At 37.3% G+C, this 20679-nt stretch overlaps 1 protein-coding gene across 2 annotated transcripts in view, besides 1 other annotated feature; it reads left to right on the plus strand.

Moving 5' to 3' along the window:
• The window catches only part of THSD7B (thrombospondin type 1 domain containing 7B), a 912174-nt gene that overhangs the window by 421073 nt on the left and 470422 nt on the right, over nt 1–20679 (plus strand). The gene's annotated exons all lie outside the window — the stretch shown is intronic.
• Nucleotides 4282–4576: a silencer, noted in NCBI's record as "tiled region #1885; K562 Repressive non-DNase unmatched - State 24:Quies". NCBI's record gives its function as "represses a minimal TATA promoter and a strong SV40 promoter by Sharpr-MPRA in K562 cells {active_cell/tissue: K562}" and the evidence as "EXISTENCE:reporter gene assay evidence [ECO:0000049][PMID:27701403]".

A 20679-nucleotide genomic window follows, 5' to 3' on the forward strand; every position in this document is an offset into this window, starting at 1 on the left:
GTAGTGTAGTTTGAAGTCAGGTAACATGATTCCTCTGAATTTGTTCTCTTTGCTTAGGATTACTTTGACTATTAGGACTCTTTTTTGGTTCCAGATGAATTTTAGAATTATTTTTTCTACTTGTATAAAAAATAACATTTGTAGTTTGATAGAAATAGTGTTGAATCTATACATTGTTTTGAACAGTATGACCACTTTAATATTGATTCTTCCAATCCATGAACATGGATGTTTTTCCATTTGTTTCTGTCATATCTGATTTTTTTCAGCAGTGTTTTGTAGTTCTTTTTATAGAGATCTTTCACCTCCTTGGTAAGAAGTTTTCCTGGGTATTTTATTCTTTTTGTGGCTATTGTAAATGCAATTCCACTTACAATAGCCACAAAAAGAGTAAAATATCTAGTGCCTTTAAAAAATTATGCTCAGAAAATCCAAGTGGCTTATGTGATTGGGTAAAGAAAGTATAGATATGCTTTCCTAGGTGATCTTTCCATTCTTTCACTAGGAGATGTCATTTGAAGTCGTTTTAGTGTCTGTGAAAATGTAGCCGTTGCCAACCCTTTGACATTGGATAGCTATTGTCTTAGGAACTGCTCTGCGAGGACAGAGGCAACACTGAGAATGACAGCATGGCTTCTCCAGGGCTAAGGTGGACAGGTGGCTTGTGAACCAACCAGAGTGTTTCACAAAGGAATGACCTGACCTGCCTGTTCCTCAGGAGATCTGTGAGCTCTACACAGTGACTTGCCACATAGACCATGGTGTGCAAGTTTTTTACAAAGCTCAAGAGCAGCACTTCCTTTTAAGGGATTAGAGGGCAGGAAGTGTTTTGAATTCTCAGTTACTTCCTTTTGCCTGAAGAACTGTCCTGAAACCATGTTTGTAATCTTGAATAAATGCGTTAGATCAATGCACAATGAGTTGCACAGTTGAGACAGGTATCTTCCTGATCTCTGTGTTGTAAGAGGCTAGAAATACAAGATTAGAAGTTGATTTGGGAAGCCTGAAATGAATGCCAGAGTAACTACCACTACCCCAGAAAGCCATGAGAATCCTGAGAAAGGGAGTTATAGCTGTGGTGAAAGAAATATGTTGTTATTTATTTTGCATTATCTTTGGTGGTTAGATAATATCTTGTGTTGATAGACTATCATATTCAACCCATATTTCCTTTGCTGTATATAGTATATAATGTATACTTCATTTTTTCTCAATCTGGCTAATTTATTTTACTTATTTTTAATTTTTGTTCCAATGTTCCCTTCATCCACATCCCCTCCTACCTGTGTATGTACTCCTGATCTGAGATTTTAATATCAAATTTGAAAAAAAAAATTCTGTATTTGCTTTCCATGGGAAATCCCCAATGTTTAGAACTACCAGCTCTAGACACTGTAAGATAAGTCTCATTGTTCATCTGGTATCTCCAACACTTAGCATGGTGCCTGGCTCATGGTAGGTACTCGATATTTAAAGAATTAAATGAATGCTGGATTTACCCAATGACAATGTAGGAATCAAGATGTAAGAGCTAAAAGAATCGTAGGCATTGAATTCAACCCTTTCATTACACTGAGATTCAAAGGAGTTTACTTTTTCAAAGAGAGGTAGTGCTGAGACCAGAATCCAATCACCTTGCAGCCTGCCAAGAGCTCCTTCTCCCTCTCTATTTACCAGCAAATGGATATTTCATGTTTCAGACCAGTGCCACCTTCTTCTTGTTCTTATGAATTGGAGTGCTGAAGGTAGATACTCTATCTGGAAGTCTTCTAACCCATTCATTTAACAGATAATTTTCCAAATTATTTTCCATGGGATATTAGTTCCAGGGCCTCCTAATGAATAACCTGGAAAAATAGATCTTCCAATAAAATAAAAGTGTACAAGACTGCATATTTTATCTCTCTTACGGAAACTCATGATACACATTACCATAGAAAGGGCTGCAGGCAGAATACCTCTGAAGACCTGCTTAATTGTGTTTCCTTGGGAGTGTCCTAAATTGTTGGAACATTGGATATTTTATTTGTAAAGTACATACTGACACTTTGTGGAATTGTTTTCCTACAGATAGCATTTTGGGGATGGCTGTCATCTAACTTCCAGGTTTGACAATGTGTTACCCAGTGTTCTGCAGTCCTTAGGAGCAGCATCTCTTTTCTATGCTGTAGTAAATTTGAAAATGGACCTGGGCACTTTAAGATATGTATATATGGATATTAGCCATACCAGGCATTTATCAGAAACATATATTGAACTGAAGTTTTCACAGGAAAGATGGAGGAAGAGTTTTACATAGAGTGGTCATTTACCCCGGTTTGCTCAGTGAAACCCCATTTATCCCCATTGTCCTGCTGTCATTATGAATGCCACTACATTTCAACTTCAGAAATGTCCTGATTTTGACACATTGTAATTCTTCCAAGCCTAGAGCCACCATATTAGCTATTGTTTTTCTCTTGGCCACATTCTCTTCTCTGGCAGCCAATTCCCATCTCATCTTCCTTCCTTCATTTTCCTCCACACCACACTCAGTTCCCACTTCCCTGGCTGCTGCTTTGTTAGGCAGAGTTGTCCTGTAGCTATATAAACCCAGGGGCAGCTCCTTTTCACCAGAAGTGAGGGTTCGTAAATTCTTGTCAGAAAACTGGTTTCTCCCTATCAAAGGGTTTTCAACACTTGTCAAGAACCTATGAGTGAAAAAACCAGAAAGTTAACAACAACAACAAAAATCCCCCTGTATACATAGGCCCTGTAACATCATCCCCAGCACTGAGCCTTTGCTTGTCCACATCCATTATGATGTTCGCTCTAGGCCCTGCTCTTTCTCAGGGCCTCTAGTGTCACCACTTAGGAAGCCACAAGGTCAACGTCACCCATGGCCTATGCCCTCTAGAGCTTCGTTCAAGTCTGCTCCATCCACAGGGTCCTCCCCATGACCTATGCCCTCCAGAGCTTGGTTCAAATCTGCTCCATCCACAGGTTCCTGTCCTCAGGATTCTTCACACTGACTTTCTGGTCACTTCGTACCCGTCTCTACTTGCCATGGTACCATGCTCTGCATTGCATGTTTTTGTTGCGATTGCTTTTAAGAACTTAGCTATAAATTCTTTGCCAAGGGTATTTCTGACTCTGACTATGCGGACCTCACAGACGGCTCCCTTCTCTCATCTGCTATTTCACACAAACTTCTTACTGCATGGCTTCACATTTATTCAACTCTGTATTCTAAGTTGAGCTTCCTTCTTATATATGCTCCTCAAAAATAGAAACTGTCTTAATAAGTCTAAATTGCCTTCCATTCCTAGCACATTGTTAGACTCGAATCAGTCAGGGATTTTCAATCATAGAAGGTATTTTAAGTACCATCTAGTTCAGTCCTTAAACATGTTCAGAGACTTACGTGAGGTCACCCATTTGTGGAAAGCCAGTCCAGGTTGCCAGGAAGAACTGTGGGTTAATAAGGGGGAATAGCCCACAATTAAGGCTTGGAAGGTCTAGATCACTATGTAGGCTTCCGCTGGATGTGACTAACTAGAGAATTTCTGCTGCTTATTGTCTCCTATTTCTCATAGGCAATAGCATGGAGATGATTTTTTGAACTCTGTGGGTTTGAAATGAAGACTACATGAGACAATGTATATGCCATGTGCTATTCCAAATCTAGGATGTACCAGGCGCTTAGTGCATGATAGTTCATATCAATTTTTTTTCTGATTTTTCATTCTTTTGTGTGCAAGTGGCTTGAAGAACGGAAGCAAGTTGCCTGACTTTGGGCAGCTTATGATGTAGAATTGGCATCATAACATCTGCTCCGAGGTGTCTCTGAGGAGGGTTGGGAGCATGGGATTGCCATGGTGACAGGGATTCTGCCAGACCCGCCTGCAGCAAGGGAGCTTGCTCTTTTTCTGAACCCATCGACTTTGATGACACTTGGCAAAAGTATCCTCGGGTGTTTGCAGCATTGGTTTCTGTACTGCACGGTCCTTCTGGTCATCCTTTCCTGGGCTTTCATGAGTCACAGTAACAACTTCAGTGCTGAATATGGAACCAGAATCCCCTGGGGCTGGTTAAAGCACATATGCATATCTAACACTATAATTCAGAGAGGAAATGATTTACAGTTCACAATGTCAGGTAACATTTCCTAGGAGCATAGTATTTTCACATCTTTTAAGGGGATTGCACCTTTTCCCTCGTGTGGAGAGTTGATGGGGTGTGCTCCCCGTCAGCTGTCACTGCTGCTCTAGGAGAAGGCTGCCCACTGACAGTCTGGCGGCTGTTTGCTGGCAGCGGACTGCTGCGTGTCTCCTTGGGGCAGACCATTTATCACAGGTCTAAGCCAGGACTGAGAGACGCTGCAATTTCACAGCCACACTCCTGCTGACAGGCGATCACCCAAGCTGCCTACTGCAGTGTGCCTTTGCCCTTACAAAAGATCCTGGGGCCCGAGCAGGGTTTCTCTCATGAAGGGCCTCTGGCAGAGTCTGCTGTCTGCAGAGGTGCTGATGATAACCCCTGCAGGTGACACCACTCTTCCTGAGAATGGCAAGCAGGTGTATTGCTGCCTTTATTCCCTTCATCAAGTATGAATTCAACAAAATGCTGATTGTCCATTGGTGGCGGGATTTGTGATTCCCTTCTCGACTTTATTCTCTCCATGTTAGTTTGCTACCAGATGTCATTGTGTTTCTTTTATAATTCATTTATAATTTTATTTTCAAAATTGTATGTAAATCTCCTAACTATTACTTGCATTTTTATTGTTCTCTTGCTGCATCCTCAAGGCTCTGATAGGAACAAAGTATGGGGCTTAAGCTGGGATGAGGGGTTGCCTTTCTGCTTGAGACAGCTGGCTGGGGAGCAGGGAAACTGGTGCTTGCCTGGTTCTGCCGCTTTTCTTACCAGATGTCTGGGTTTTAGTAAGCTGCATGAGGTTCCTCAAATCTAGGCTTCCTCTTGCCTCTGGGCCTTTATTTAACACTATTCCATCAACCTGGAGCATACCCTAGACCATGGCCCCATGGCTGCCCACCGTCCTGCACTCAGTCATCTCAGCTTAGGGGTCATCTCCTCCAAGAAGCTCTCTCTGACCCCTCATTTGTTTGAGTATCCTCAAATGCTCCCCCACTGCAGCCTGTGCACAGGCTTACACAGCCCTACTTCAGCAGCTGTGGATCATATTATATATACTGAATGATGACCTGTCACTTTGGTGTGAGCATTTTACCGATTACACATTTTTTTCTACATTGTCTTTTTTATGGCTTCATTGTATCACAAAGGACAAAGCCACCTCGATTTCTTTAAGGAATTACCTATTGTTGGATATTTGGGGTGTTCCAGTTTTTTGGGGTATTACAGATAGTGCTAAGATGAATATACCAATAACTGAATCTTTATGCTTTCCTTAGGATGAATTGTTGGAAGAGGAATTGCTGGTGTTATCATTTGTGTTTTGTGGGTTTATACCTCCCTACAGTGTTACTGGGATTGGAGATTTAATCAGAAGTGAAAGAAAAAAATCAAAGTGGGAAAAGCCCCTGTGATCCTCTCAGTTTATCCCAGCTTAATCGTGGGTATACATAAATAATATACTAATAAACAGCATGTTTATTCAACACAACAACACATATATATGTGTTCTAGGAGATACTGATGATACATAAAGTAACCTCCAAGTATATTATAGTATAGGCAGTGAACAAGGTGCACATAGAAAGGGTATGAGCAAGGAAAAACTCACAGGGAGAAGAGTGAAGTGATATTCATGATCAATCATGAATGTCATTTCTAGCCAGAGTGATTGGGGCTGGGGGAATTCTCCTGATAAGGTGTTATTTGGAACAAAGCTGAAAGCATTGGTATACTTGTATACTTGAGAAGAGAGATGGGAAATTGAGGGAAAATTCTAAGTAGAAAGAATTGTGAAAGCAAAACTTGAAAGCAGGAAAGCAATGGGCATTTTTCCAGAATAATGAGTGTTTCCAATTTTCATATGAATAAGGAATAGCAGGGCTTTTTTAAAAAAATAAACTCCTGCCATTTACACACTACCTTTATGCATTTTGCTTTAACTGCCTACTCTTATTCCTGAAATCTGGATGTATTTTGAATTTAACAAATCTTGATAATAAATTAAATATATACAGGAAAAAAACCATTTCACTTTAAATGGAAAATCAGTATTTCCTCATTCACCTTTACCTTTGGAAAACCTGGAACAAAGGATGAGGAGCCATAGGAAATGCTGAGTGGGGTTTTTAAATTAAGCTAAATTACTTGACGTGGTGTCTCTAAGTCTATTCTTGAAGTATTTTTCCATAGCTTAGAAAGGAAAGCTTGTGTGTGCGTATGTGTATGTGTGTATGTGTGTATGTGTGTGTGTTTGCATAGCTGATATTCAGAGGGTGTGCACTAACTGTGGAAACAGTTCAGCATGTATTGAGAAATGTTCACTCACCGCTCCACCCCTGCAGCCCTTCAGAGTCCAGCCAATCTCCCAGCGCTTTCCAGACCTCTCCACCGTCCAGTAACCTGATGAGTCACCCTGCCACGCCAGGGGTTAAATATTTGGAATATCACACATGTGTGTATGTATGTGTGTATGTGTGCATATACATCCCTGAACATTCATGTGGATGTGTAACTTGTATGAGTGTGTGTTTGTTCATTTTTATGATAAATTGATAATTTATAATTGCGTAAATTTATGAGGTGCAAATTGATGTTAAATTTATAAACACAGTGTGGAATAATTAAGTCAAACTAGTTAACATATTCATCACCTCAAATACTTAACATTACTTGTGGTGAGAACATCTGAAATGTACTCTCTTAGCAATTTTGAAATGGACATTATTATTAATCATATTCACCACACGTAAGAGAACTGTGAAGATGGAAACAGAAGTGACAGGACACATCTGATTGACAAGAAAGCTTCTTGAGATAGTAGGCTCAGGTTCTGAAGGAAAAGAATGGTGGCAGATGCTCTTGGCAGGTCCTTTGTCCCGCCTTGCCAACACTGAGGGTGTCATGCTCAGTGATGAGCATGTCATTGGACCTTCTGTATGGGAGCAGTTCCCTATAAAATCAAGAATTTGTTGTTTCAAGGACTGTTATAAACTGGAATATAAAAGCCAGAACTCATAAGGTTACGGGATGCATACAAAACTTCTGACCTGCATATCTTGAAGCATTCACCTTCTCTTAGACCTAGATGGCAAATCATAGACATAAACTTGTGCATCCTAGATAATTCTCCTGACTCTGGACTTTCTCGCTCCTGATCTCCTTAACTATTTGACATTAGAGGAGAGTCTGAATTTGCAACCTTGGTTTTCTCATCTGGAAATTGAGCTAATGGACTCACCCAACAGGGTTCTTGTAATGATTAATGGGATAATAGCCAAGGCCATACAGGCCTTCTAAAATTGTTTTCACAACTTGCCTCCAAACACAATAAGGAAATATAAGAGTAACAAGTAAGACCACACAAAATCCATAATCCCAGCATAACTGGAACATGGAGAAAACCCATCTTCCAATAACATTAAGTAGGAAAATAAACACCAAGTCCAGTGAGCTGTCTCCTGTATTCCCACCCTTTGGGGAATGCAGGAGTTGCTGAGGGTGGGGAAAAGGGGCGTGCTGTAGAAAAGAAAGGGCAGGAGAACTTAGCAGCAGTCCTAAAATTGACCTAAAGCTGCCACAAGGGAAAAAGAGACTTCCCTGTGTATGGTATTGAGAGTTTCCTCCAGTTTAGAGCAGCCCCTCCTGGGAAGTGACTTAAAAACCCACACATGATCTGAGTAAGCAGTCTTGGAAAAATAAAGCTCCAGGAAGAGAAAGAAGTGTGTTAGTATTTTTATTTTAATTGAATTAGTTTGTAAATGAACTTAGGGAGAGCTTCTATCTTTACAATGTTGATTTTTCCTTCAAAGAACAAGTGTATCTTTACATATGCTAACATCAACCTTTGAGTCTTTCAGTGTTGTTTCAGTGTTTTCTTCATACAGGTTTTATACATTGCTTTTCAAGATTATTCCTATTCTATCTTTTGTTACTATTGTAAATAATGTTTTCTCTCTTTGTATCCTCTAATTATTATACATGTACCTGAACACTACTGATTTCTTATGTTAATTTTATAGCTTGCTACTCTATTGAATTATTTTATTATTTGAGTTAATTTTATCATTGACTCTCTAGGGTTTTCCAGGTACACACTCATATCATCTGCATAAACATTTTCTTTTACTTCTTTTCATTCAATTTTTATTCAGATAATTAATTTCCCTTTTCTAAATGCACTGGGTAATATATGATTAATAGTGGTAGAAACAGTGGGAAATCTTGCCTTTACCTAATCTTAGTGAAGCCACCTTTAGTGTTTCTCATCAAGAAAGATGCTATCTTTAGGACTGGGGTAAATATCTTTTAATCTATACATGATTCTATTTTGTGAATAATAAGGGACCCTGTTCATAGAGCACAGGGGAGCTCTTTACTGTATTCACAACTTTTTGGTAGATTTAAACCTCTTCTAAAAAACTTTAATAACTGCAAAAAGCAAAACCCTGCATATAGCTATTTGTATGTATATGTATGTGTGTATATATATATATATATACACACACACACACGTGTTTCTATATTTGTGTATAGACATATATCAATTTTTCAGCTTCTTTATTGAGAGAACTGAGAAACTGCCACTTCAGTAGCAACAAGCCACTCCTAGAGCTCAGATCTTGGTTTCTAAATGCCATTTACTACTAAAATAACCCTGGGCCCCTTAGAAAAATAGCTGATTCCTGGTGCGAATCAGAAAAAACAAGATGAGCTTGGGAGATCTTCATGTGCCAAAAAGTAAGAAAATATTTAAATGGTGGGAATATTGCAAAAGAATGCAGGTCCACTTTGAAGGGATTTCTACTGGCTAAATCTATGACAATTTGAGCTCCAAATAAATAATATTTAACTGTTATAACTATTAAATAAAGTATAAATCTGCTTGATATTAATAAATGCATGAATAAATAGATAAATAAGTGGGGAGAAAGCAAAGCTCTTGCTTGCATTAGAAAGCCAACCAAAAAATATCAAATGAATAATGGAATTAAAAAATCAGTATTCGTAACCATCAGAGTGATAATTAAGTCAGGCAAGAATCATCAACGAATGTTGACACTAGTGGATGAAATTTTGACGAGGAACAGGATATTTACATCATCTGAAACTATATACCCACAAGATATATTTTTATTATAAGAGGTAAAATGATAACTTTACAGAGGGAAAAAAATAGCAGACATTACTTTAACTTTCACAGATTGACCATCCCTAATCTAAAAATCTGAATTCCAAAATGCTTCTAAATTTCAAAATTTTTGAGCACTGACATGATCATAGAGATGACATCGTTGGCACTGCACAAAAAGTGCCTATAGACAACAGGGTGAAAAAGTGTGAAGGGCTTTTTGTACTGGAGCAGTGCCTTCATCACAGAACAAGAAATAGTGTTCATTTATAAAATCAAAGAGAGACTTCTAACCCAAAAACCATTGTTAATGAGGCAGATGACGCTGGAGAAAACATTTAAAAAGCCCTCCGGCAGAATGCCTCCTCATCCCTAGAGGGCCCACTTCTTGGTCCTTCAGCTGCTTCTGATGTTTCTTCTAAGCTCAAAAATAAGATACACAATAACCTTTTAATCAAAACACAGCCTTTTAGCTGGAGATGGAAAACCTGCTGTTTTTTTTTTTTTTTTTTTTTTTTTTTGTGGCTGCCGTTTCGCAGCTAATCCAGGTATTCTGGTGATGCTACTGTGCTGCTTAGTTACCCTAAACTTTTAACATTATTTTTTCACTGTATTAATGGCATGTCATAGTTTGATCCCTAAATACTTACGGGTGAATGAGTATAAGAAAATGATTGCTTATCGGTAACATAAATTCAGAGTCAGGAATGATGGTGATGCCAAACAACCACAGATTGTCCATGTGGGTGGCTGAGACAGTGACACCTTTTGCCTTCTGATAGTTCACTGTACAAGAACTTTATTTCATGTACAAAATTATTAAAAATATTGTATACAATTATCTTCAGCTATGTGTATCTGGTGTAAAAGAAACATAAATGAATGTCATGTTTAGACTTGGATTCTGTCACGAAGATATCTCATTATGCATATGCAAATATTCAAAAATTTGCAAAAATCTGAAATAGAAAACGCTTCTGGTCCCAAGCGTTTTGGATAAGGGATATTCAAACTGTAATCAAAGATCAGCGGTAATAGGGCTAATGCACAGCGGGCTCCTCCTGTTACGATGCCCTAAGAGCTCAGCATCAGTTCTGTGCTATGCCTGCCAAAGGTGCAGACCCTGAATCTAATCACACAATCATGAGGAAATATCTAATGTAATCATGAAGAAACTTCGGACCAATGCAAATTAGAGACATTGTACAAAATAACTTCAAAAATGTCAGTCATGAAATATACAGAGTGACTGTGGGACTTTTTCAGATTGAAAGGGATTTGGGATGTGCTACTGAGGGCATGATTAAGATAACTGACAAAATCTAAAAAGGTCCGGAAATTAGGCGACAGCATTATTTCCAGTGTGAAGTTCCACTGCTTATGTACACAGCAGAGAGAGATGGAGGAAGGAAGAAGTTGGAGGAGGGAGATGTGTGAATATTCCAGTTGAGGATGTGCTAAAAGCTAAACTTCGGGCAATCTTGTTGAATGGTATCCAGTAATATTTTGTTTTATTCTTGTGACTTTTATGTAAGTCACAAGTAAAAAATAAAAATAAATACATTGAAATAAATATTAAATGAAGTGATCTGGCTAAATCACCACCAAAAGATATGTCGATTACAATTTGTTTAAAAAAGAAATAAAGATACCATACTTTAAAAAGAGAAATTAGGACCCTGTGAAATGGGCTACTGTTAGAGGTTTGAGTGGATGTCAGAGTAAGTCTTAAACTTTATGAAGATGAATGGGGGAGGCATGCAGTACTGTTGGCGCTTTAGAAATGCTGTTGTCAGAGAGGACAGAAAGAATCCATTCTTGGGTTCTGTGTGTTTAGGAACATCACGGAAGCAGCATCAGCATTCTCTTAACATTTTAGGGCATTGGCACTTTGTTCAGAGAGTGTAGTCCATGTTTGTGAAAGCTGAAGCATGATTCCCTTAAGAGTTAAGAAATGCCCATTGTACTAAATGAGAATAGGACCATGTCTTCAGGTCATTGATAGCCACTTGAATCCTATCTCCATCAAATGACCTGGACAATTTCCTATTCCGCACACACTCATGCACACGTGTATGCATGTGCACAGTATGTGTTGTGGGGAGGTTGGTGAGTTCATTTTTTATTTTCAAGGAGTAGCAAGTACATCTTTCATGCCTCTGTGTCTACTTCATCTTTCTGCCTGCTTGCTTTTCATTATTTAGCTTCAAATTTTCATTACATCTTTACCAAAGGATAAAAAGAGAAATGGAAATACTAATGAGTCTACATAGTCATTTATCAGAAATTCTTCAGAGATGTTTTGAGTCCAGAAATCAATGAGACTGGCATTTCTCTTGTACTCATTTATTTTCTTCCTTCTGGGATTCCTCTTTTCACCACCTGCCCTTCTCCAATTTTGAAAGGAGAACATGAGAGTGGTATTTTCTCTTTATCTTTCAGTGGTGTAACCTGCAACTTTATCCCTAAACCTCTTAGAGGTAGATCCTGACACTGGGAGAGGAATGACTTATGTTTAATAAAAATCTGCTTCAGGAGAGTAAATGGAAAAACGCTTCACTACAGGTCACATTTCCCCTATAGTTCCTCCCCAGCTTAGAAGCTGTCCTTGGAAGACAATTCCCCTACTACTGCCAACCTCTTGGCCTTCTGAGGAAAAGAGACTAACGGTTTCAGCTGCTAGCTTTCAACCATCTGAATAATGACCAGAACATGTCCTTCTTCCCCTCCACTACATATATGCACTTTAAGTGGTAAAATGTTGTTATAAAAAGGCTGGGGGTGGGAGCTTTAGGTGTATAAATGGGAATATATATTCTGATTACCTTACCATTTCTGTGGATTCTCATGAACTTGCTGTATCTCTGAATACAAACTTTTATTCCAAGATATATTGGCAAATGATGAGTTATAAAAGAAAAACTGGAAGACTTTTTGGTGGTTTTCTTTTCTTCAGACTAAGAATTTAAACCACCTTACTGTTGCTGTTTTACCCTTATTATTTGAGTATTATGATGCCTTTGGGACAAAATTGTCATTATTTTGCCAAAGATATTTGAGTCGGGAGATTTGTATGTCCAGGACTTGCACTGTTTATAAGAAATTAACAATCAGAGTAGATGCTGTTAAGGCTTCTTGCCATAACCATAAGGGGCAGAGCTGAACCGCACGGCACTCCTAGTGTAGTCTTTGTGTGTGATCTGCAGTATAAATTGGGTAAATAGTGGTGCTGCTCTCCCATTCTACAAGCGAGTCCTATTAAGTCACTTTCCATGTTTAGCTCTTCACTGACAGTGGTGAACAACTTAAGAAAACATGTTTTTAAAACAAATGCTTTTCCCAGTCATTTCATTTTTCTTTCTTTTCTAAAAAATATATCGAAAGATAATGTATCTAGTCTTTTCTCACTCTAAAAATATGAAGTATAGAAATGTATGCCCACTGTAAATACTTTAAAAATGTTTATATAAAATAAAAAGTAAGTCCCCTTCTCAAAACCTCCTTCCATTTACCTCTTCCCTCTAGTCCCAGTAATTAACAAAGTTTGGGATATTAACTGAATATTTTTAAAGTATTTCATATGTGCATATAAAGATTCACTTAGTTATTTACACTTGTCATGTTTTGAAATACAGATATATTAGCTAATTCCTTTGAGTTGATCTTTAAGGATCAGATCTACTTGGTTTTGTGATGCTCTTCCTGAAATGACTGTGAAAGCTAATTCCAATGCTCATTTTATGAAGTGGAAAGGAAGAATTATGTGGTGATGAATATCACTAAAACACTCTTGATAAAAAATACCATATTGCATTTTTGCTTTTGATAAGTAAGCATAATTTATTTCCCCATATCAGATTATTAAAAGTTATTGTGTATGTTCTCCTTAACTAAGAGAAATATGCAAATATGAGAATTTTGCATTATACTTTTGAACTTTACTTGATAATAGGTTTTAATAGAGAAAATGAAAAAGCTGAAGATAGTGTAAAATAGTTTCCAAAGGCCAGGTGGCTAGAATGATTAATGAGAAAACAATGCTGGTGGCCAAATATTTCTAGAGATGCAACTGAGATTTTGGAAGAAATAACCTCAGCATCTGACTAGACTGTTGCAGAATCTTCACATAATTACATCCTTAAAAGGATGTAATTCCTTCTCAAGGAACGTTGGAAATGTGAATATTTTTCAATCTTTAATAATTTTTCTCTTACTCAAATTTTTAAATCTGTACCACTGCATTCTTCCTTAGATGTTTCAGAAATATAGATTTCTTTCTCTCTGAAGGCTATAAATTATTCAAGGGCATAGGAGTACCTTTTTATTCTTGTATATTCCTGTATGCCTTCCTCATTCCCACCTCAATTTGAGTATGATATGGATGCTGTGTCAGTGCTTCTGGAATTAATGAAAGAAATCAGTTTAGATTTAAATCTCCATTTGAACCCACTTTATTGTGGCATTATATACATACAATTTATGTAAATACTTTACTGTTCAACCTTGTTTTAGGCCAACCTTCCCATTTTTATTTCTTCTTGGTTTGTCAAGTATTTTTTTTAATGAGTTTACATTGTTTATTTTTAAAGAACATTTTTAGTAAAATGTAACATACATATAGAAATCAGCATAAATCATAGTATTCCCTGAATGAATTTTTAAATGCAAACACACATGTGCCTAGTACTCACATAAATAAATAGAAATTCCTGACTTCCCTGAACCTCTCCTGCCCCATCCCAGTCACACATATGGTCCATACTGTAACCACTATTTTTTTTTTAATTTAAGAAACAGGATCTTACTCTGTCGCCCAGACTAGAGTGCAGTAGCACAATCATAGCTTACTGCAGCCTCCAACTCCCAGGCTCCAGTGACCCTGGCTTCCAGTGGTCCTCCTGACTCAACTTCCCAAGTAGCTGGGGCTACAGGCACATGCTGCATGCCTGGCTAATTTAGATATATATTGAAGAGATGGGGACTCCTATGTTGCCCAGACTGGTCTCCAACTCCTGGCCTCAAGCGATCCTACTGCCTTGACCTCCCAAAGCACTGGGATTATAGGTATAGAGCCACTCACCCAGCAAAACCTGTATTTTGATTTGTAACATCATAGTCTGATTTTGCCTGTTTTTGAACTTTATGTAGATGTAGGCTATTTTCAAACAGCATTGTTTCCAAGATTCATCCAGGTTGAACAGTAGTTTTAAATATATGTGTGGTTCATTCTTTTTCATTGCTAAATAGCATTCCATTGTTTGACTATATTGATTGATTGATTGATTCCATTTTGATGGCCATTTTAGTGTGTGTCTTTGTTACATTTAACCCTTAGTGCAAATGACAGAATTTTCTTCTTTTCAAGAGCTGGAAAACATTCTGGGGTGTGTGTGCATGTGCATGTGTGCACACGCACCACATTTTCATTATCTGTTGCTCCATTGGTGGGCACTTGGGCTTCTCTCATGTCTTGCTTATTGTGAATGATGCTGCAGTGAACATGTAGTGCACATATCTCTTTGACATGTTGATTTCAGTTCCTTTTGATATGTACCCAGCAGTGCTGAGATCATATGGTAATTCTACTTTTATTTTCTTGAGAAATCTCCATAGTTTTTCTATAATGCCTGTATTAATTTACATCCCCACCAACAATGTATACATATATTAAAACACATTGTACTCCATAAGTATATATAATCATTATTTGTCAATTTAAAAAATAAACAAAAAACAAACAAAACCAAACCCCAGTGCAGAATTGTTGTATCATATGGTGAGCACATGGCCACTTCCTAGTAAAAGCTGCCCCACAGTTCTCCAAAGTGGCTGTGCCAATTAAGACCCCATCCAGCATCAGTGTGAGAGTGCGAGGTGCCACATCCCCTCATTGGACTTGCTACTGTTGGTCCTTTTCTTTTAACCACTCAGGTGGATGAGTAGCAGGATCTCATTTGTGGTTTAATTTACAATTTCCTAATGACTAAATAGACTGAGCCCTTTTCAAATCTTTATCAGCCGTTTGTGTTTCTCCTCTGGGATGCTCCTGCTCAAGGCTTTGCCCATTTTTTCTGATGGTCTCTATGTCTTTTCCTTGTTAATCTCTCAGGGTACTTGATTCTCTATAGATTCTGGATCTGGGTCCTTTGCTGCACATCATCTTTTCTCCCATAGTGTATTGTGTAATTTCACATTCAGAACGCTGTCTTTTGCAGAAGAGAGATTCTTTGTTCCCATGTAGTAATTTTATTATAATTTTTCTTTAAGGACTGTGCTCATCTGAGTGAGCTTTTGTATGATTTTGTTTTCATTATTTTCTCTGGGTTTTTCAGTAGCCTGAATGATACTTCTCCAAAAGATATCCACATCAAATCCCTGGAACTTGTGAATGTGATCTTAAAAATTTGGGAAAAGGGTGTCTGCTAATGTGGTTAAGGATTTGAGGTAATGAGATAATCCTGGATTATCTCAGATGGACCCTAGATGTCATCCCAAGTGTCCTCATAAGAAGGAGGCAAAGAAGACAGACACCCAGAAGAGAAGACACAGAGGAGATGGCGAGGTGAAAAGAAAGAAGCAGAGCAGAGTGGTTTAACCACAAGCCGGGGGCATCGACTGCCACAGAGCAGTTACAGAACAGGTTCTCCCAGGAGCAGCAGTAGAGAGCACGGCCCTGCCAACACCTAACTGTCAGACTTCTGTTTTTCAGGACTGCTGGAGAATGAGTTTCTGTTGTTTCAAGCACCAAGTTTGTAGTAATTTGTTATAGCAGCTTTGGAAATAAATACAGGGTTATGTAGGGCTTCTTAAGTTTATGGCTCCATGAGTTGACACAGATACACACCAAGAATCAGCAAATGCTTTGAGAAAAGAGAGGCTGTGGTGGTAAGTCAAGTCTCTCCAATTACATCTCTCTGGGATCTCAACTTCCAGATTTCTATTTGACTCAGCAGTTTTCCTATGTCTTGATAGAGAGATAAACAGATGATAGATAGATAACAAACAGGTGATAGTTGGATAGATAACAGATGTGTAGAGAGATGATGGCTAGATAATGGATAGAGGGATAGATAGGTGATACATGTGTAGATAGATATGTGATACACAAATAAGAGATGGATAGAAGGAGGCATGGACAAACAGACATAGATAGATAATGATGGATAAACAGTATTTTGTTTGGCTTTTTTAGTTGTTCTCGGTGTGATTGTTGATATTTTTCAAGCTATTCCCATCACAGCCAAAAACAGAAATCTGATGTAAAATTTTTAAATTGAGAATTCTCTCATTTGTTTCCCTAAATTTACTTTGTTCTCTAGAAAAGTAAATAATAATTTCCTAGTTTTATTCCCTGGTCTAGGGTATGAATAAAATGAGAACTCTTATCTTCCTTAATGGTATTTTAAATACCTGAAATTAAGCTGCTTTATGATTTATCCTTTCTTAAATAGGACTATAATAATTGTTTCAGATTGTCTGGAATTGGCATGGGTGTTAGAGAGTAAGAACAACTAATTCAAACCTTAGTGAAGTATACTTTTTTAGATCTCAATATTTTAATGATAAATACTTTCTAATTTTACTTATTTATTTACATACTTCTTTCTTTACATGTGAAATAGATCTTGACCATGCTCCTGGTTCTAGGCCAAAATTCCATATTTCTTTTTTAGTGAGAGAAGAGATAAGGAAAAAAAACCTTTTTTTATTTTATTAATAGGTATAAGTGTAATTTATTAGTAGCTATAAGGTTTGCTAACATGCTTAAGAACTGAGATAGTTATAGTGACATTGGGGACTTCAAAACATCAATAAGGAATGAAGGGTGTGTTTGTGTATGTGTGTGTGTATGAAATGTAGAATCTATTTAACTTCAGAAAATAGAATATTATGCAGTGTATTTCTTACTTTTAATTGGCATTGATTAAAAATTTTTAATAGAGATTTAGAAAAGTATCATGACACACACACACGTTTGCATGAACTTTGCTCTCAGAGAACTTGAGGACATAATACTATTTCATTGCACCCTCTCCTCACAACCTTTTCCTTGTCAGATAAGAGTACACAGACCACCCAGTGATAAATATGAGTATGTGAAAGAAATATATCCATAGACAATCTCAAGGGAAAAGGAATAGTTTACAGCTGCTAGGAAATCAACATCAAATAGTTTTCAGATTGGTGATGTGATGATAATTGGAATAGAATGATAGGCAAGACAGTTCAGTCCTCTGGGGTTTCTATGTAAAGATCATCTGTTACATGGCACCTGGAGTGGGCACCATGGAAAAAAATTCCCAATATGTTAGTTTAGAGTGACACTTTTATTTAAAGGAAAATAAGGATTGCTTTAACATTGCTATAAAGTAAGAAATATCTACATCAAATTCTTAGTAAAGGGACAAAAAGAGCAAAATTGGGGTTTTCCCTTAGTCTTTCAGTTGAGAATGCGTAGTTATGGTGAAGAGAACTATGCTATATATTAATTTCTCCAGGTGGTATTGTCTTCTGATTTCCATATATTCTGTGTCACAGTGTAAGCTGTGAATTTTTCTTAGAGTTATTTTGCAGGTCACTTTATCTGCTGTTCAGTTGTATTAAGTGTGATTGAGATCTGAGATTACAGGTGAAGACTTTGAGAAATTCTAGTTCACATTCAGTAGTTGATTAGGACACCATTTCAGAAATAAGATGCCATTTGGAAGGACACCATTTCAGAAATGAGACATTTTCATTTACAAATACATATCTATGTATGTAACATATGTATTTTTTATTGAGCACAAATTATTTTAATCTATAAGTGGCTTTGTGCTGGCTTATTGCCTACATGAAATGCATCAGTAAATCAGAAATCAACTATCTTAAGAAGTTATACTGAAAAGTATGATTTGCAGTATGTGTCATTTTTCATAGATTATGATGTAGTAATTTCATCCAGAACTCAGATTTATTGAAAGGAAAAAAAGTCGCTGAAACACACTGGCACTGTTATAACTAAGTAATAGTTAACAAAATTTGGAGTCAATGAGCATCAGTAATGCATGGACAAAATCTTCGTCATCAGGGAATACTGCATTTGAATATAACACCCAATTACTGTGTGAGAGGCTAGGTTAGAATGCACCCACACGGATGACCCAAAAGTTTTCTTCTGTCTACCACACTCATCCATTTCTTTGTTGACTCCAGGTAAGCCTGGGCCAGATCCTACCATAGCCAAAATCTTGATGGAAGGAAGATAGGAGAATGCTTCTGAATACCATTTTGTAATGCCAGTTTTGTTGCTGGATAGAGTGCCAGTGAAGGTGAAAAAACTGTAGGTTTTTTAGAAAAGATTCTTGGAGATTATAAAAGTAGTCATTAGGTATTTAAAAGACTGTCACATAGAACATGTGTTAACTTGTACTCTGTGGTCCCAGAGGAACTCCAGAGAATCCCAAAGATTCTCCTACCACAAATGAAGGGAATTTATAAGAAATTCTTCCAGTCAACATAATTAAGATCTAAGTTTATCACAGCTGAAAAATGTTCAAATAAAGACACACCATTTGCTGAGGATGTTGCCAGGAAATTAATGAAATGCATGGTTAGATTCAATCCTTTAATTTAATTATGTAGTTTTTGTTCCTTTTTTGTTTTTGGTATAACAAAGGCAAGAGCAGTTTTCTGTTTCGTATCACTATTATTTCTGTTAAGTAGATGTGAGGCCTCTGCAATATTATGATTTTAGACATTGAACGTCACTTTCCACTTTGGAAACAAATTTTTTCCAAGTTCATTTCTTTCTACAAAAATCGAGGTGATGGAAACAGCTCCATATTTAAAGGTTCTCAGCTCCTCAAGAGCTCTACTTTTGAATTTAAATATTTGTTACTTTTAACATCATGTGAGTCTTAAATCCCATAGAAGTGATTCTACAACAGCTGTACATTTATTTTACAGCAGTTTGCATTAATTCAGACCCTACTTGCTCTTCTAATACATTATTTATCATTGTGTTAAGAGTAAGAATAATGTCAGTGGTAGATTGTTGCAACATATTTTTACATATTAATACTATCTACTAACTTATTTTCTTCTATTACTAAAGTATATTCACATACAAATCTCTGCCTTTTCTGACAAAAAAATAGTTTATATTTCCAACAGTGATTATCCTTTTTTTTTTTTATCTAAATGTCTTTCATATTGTTTTTTTAAAGGATCAGGAATTGCGGAGGGTGATTTTGGAGGCAGAGTATTTGATTTTTAGTGGGTGATTCTTAAGCAGCTGTTGACTGCTGCATGTAGTCATCTTACAACTGTGTCATTTAATTCTTGACACCTCCCTCAGAGGTAGGAGGAGTCCTTAAATCCTGAGGAGCAAGACATTGTGATTATGAGAGGTGAAATGACTTGCCTAAAGGCATGCATCTAGTAACCAGTACAAACTAAACAGGGAAATGGAAATGATCTTGACTTTCAACAGTATGATTAATGAGGAAGAAAGAATAAGCGTGAGAGTGTTTAAAGTCCCAAATACACAATCACATGTAGCTAGTTGCCACTCAGAGGTTTTCAGCCCTGACTGCGTATTAGTTACCTGTCACATTAGAGTTACATTATCAGGGGGTCCCATACTCAAGCACTGATTTAATTGGATTTGGATTGAATCCTAGTATCAGCATTTTAAAAGAGATCCCCAGGTGATTCTAATATGCAAACAAGGCTGCCAGCCACCACTCCCTATATAAGAATTAAACAGGTCCAGGTGGGAATAGAGAAAGACCATAAAGGATTTTGCTCAGAAAAGCATTAGGGACAGGTAGAAGAGGCATGTTTTGTGGTAATGTATCTGAGTAAGGGCGAGGATGCATTTTGTTTAACTGTATTAGAGAGTCACTATTCACAGACGCATCGTTTGCTGAAGCCCAGTACTTCAGCTTAAATGAATGAAAGCAGAATAATAGATTTGTTTTCATGGTTGGAGCTGTGAATACAAATTAATATATTGAAAGAAATAAAAGCAATTAGATAAGGAAGGATTTCATCTAATTAAAGCAGGAATGTATATCTTTGTGGGATTTCGAAGAAAGGGTGTAATTGATCAGGTGAGGCTTGTGGAAGGTTTTCACTGTTTTTCCAAAAAGGAAAGTTCAGAGGGGAGAGAGGATGTTGATGTTAGGAAGAAAAGACATTTTCATAGGTAATTTAGGACTGTGTCTAAAGGAATGAAGAGAAGCTGCAAGATGTAAAAGTGAAGAGAGGAGGAGGAAGATAATGCATCTACTTTTCAGGGCTACCTATTGTGTTCTTAATGCTTTTATATGTTAACAACTTGACCAGGTAGAGTTTATTGTGGGCATTGTATTACAAATGAGGAAACTAAGCTCAGCAAATTTGAATTATTTGCTCAAGGTCAGAAGATT

This window comes from Homo sapiens, chromosome 2 (genome assembly GCF_000001405.40).
Source record: "Homo sapiens chromosome 2, GRCh38.p14 Primary Assembly".
In the NCBI taxonomy this organism is placed as follows: domain Eukaryota; kingdom Metazoa; phylum Chordata; class Mammalia; order Primates; family Hominidae; genus Homo; species Homo sapiens.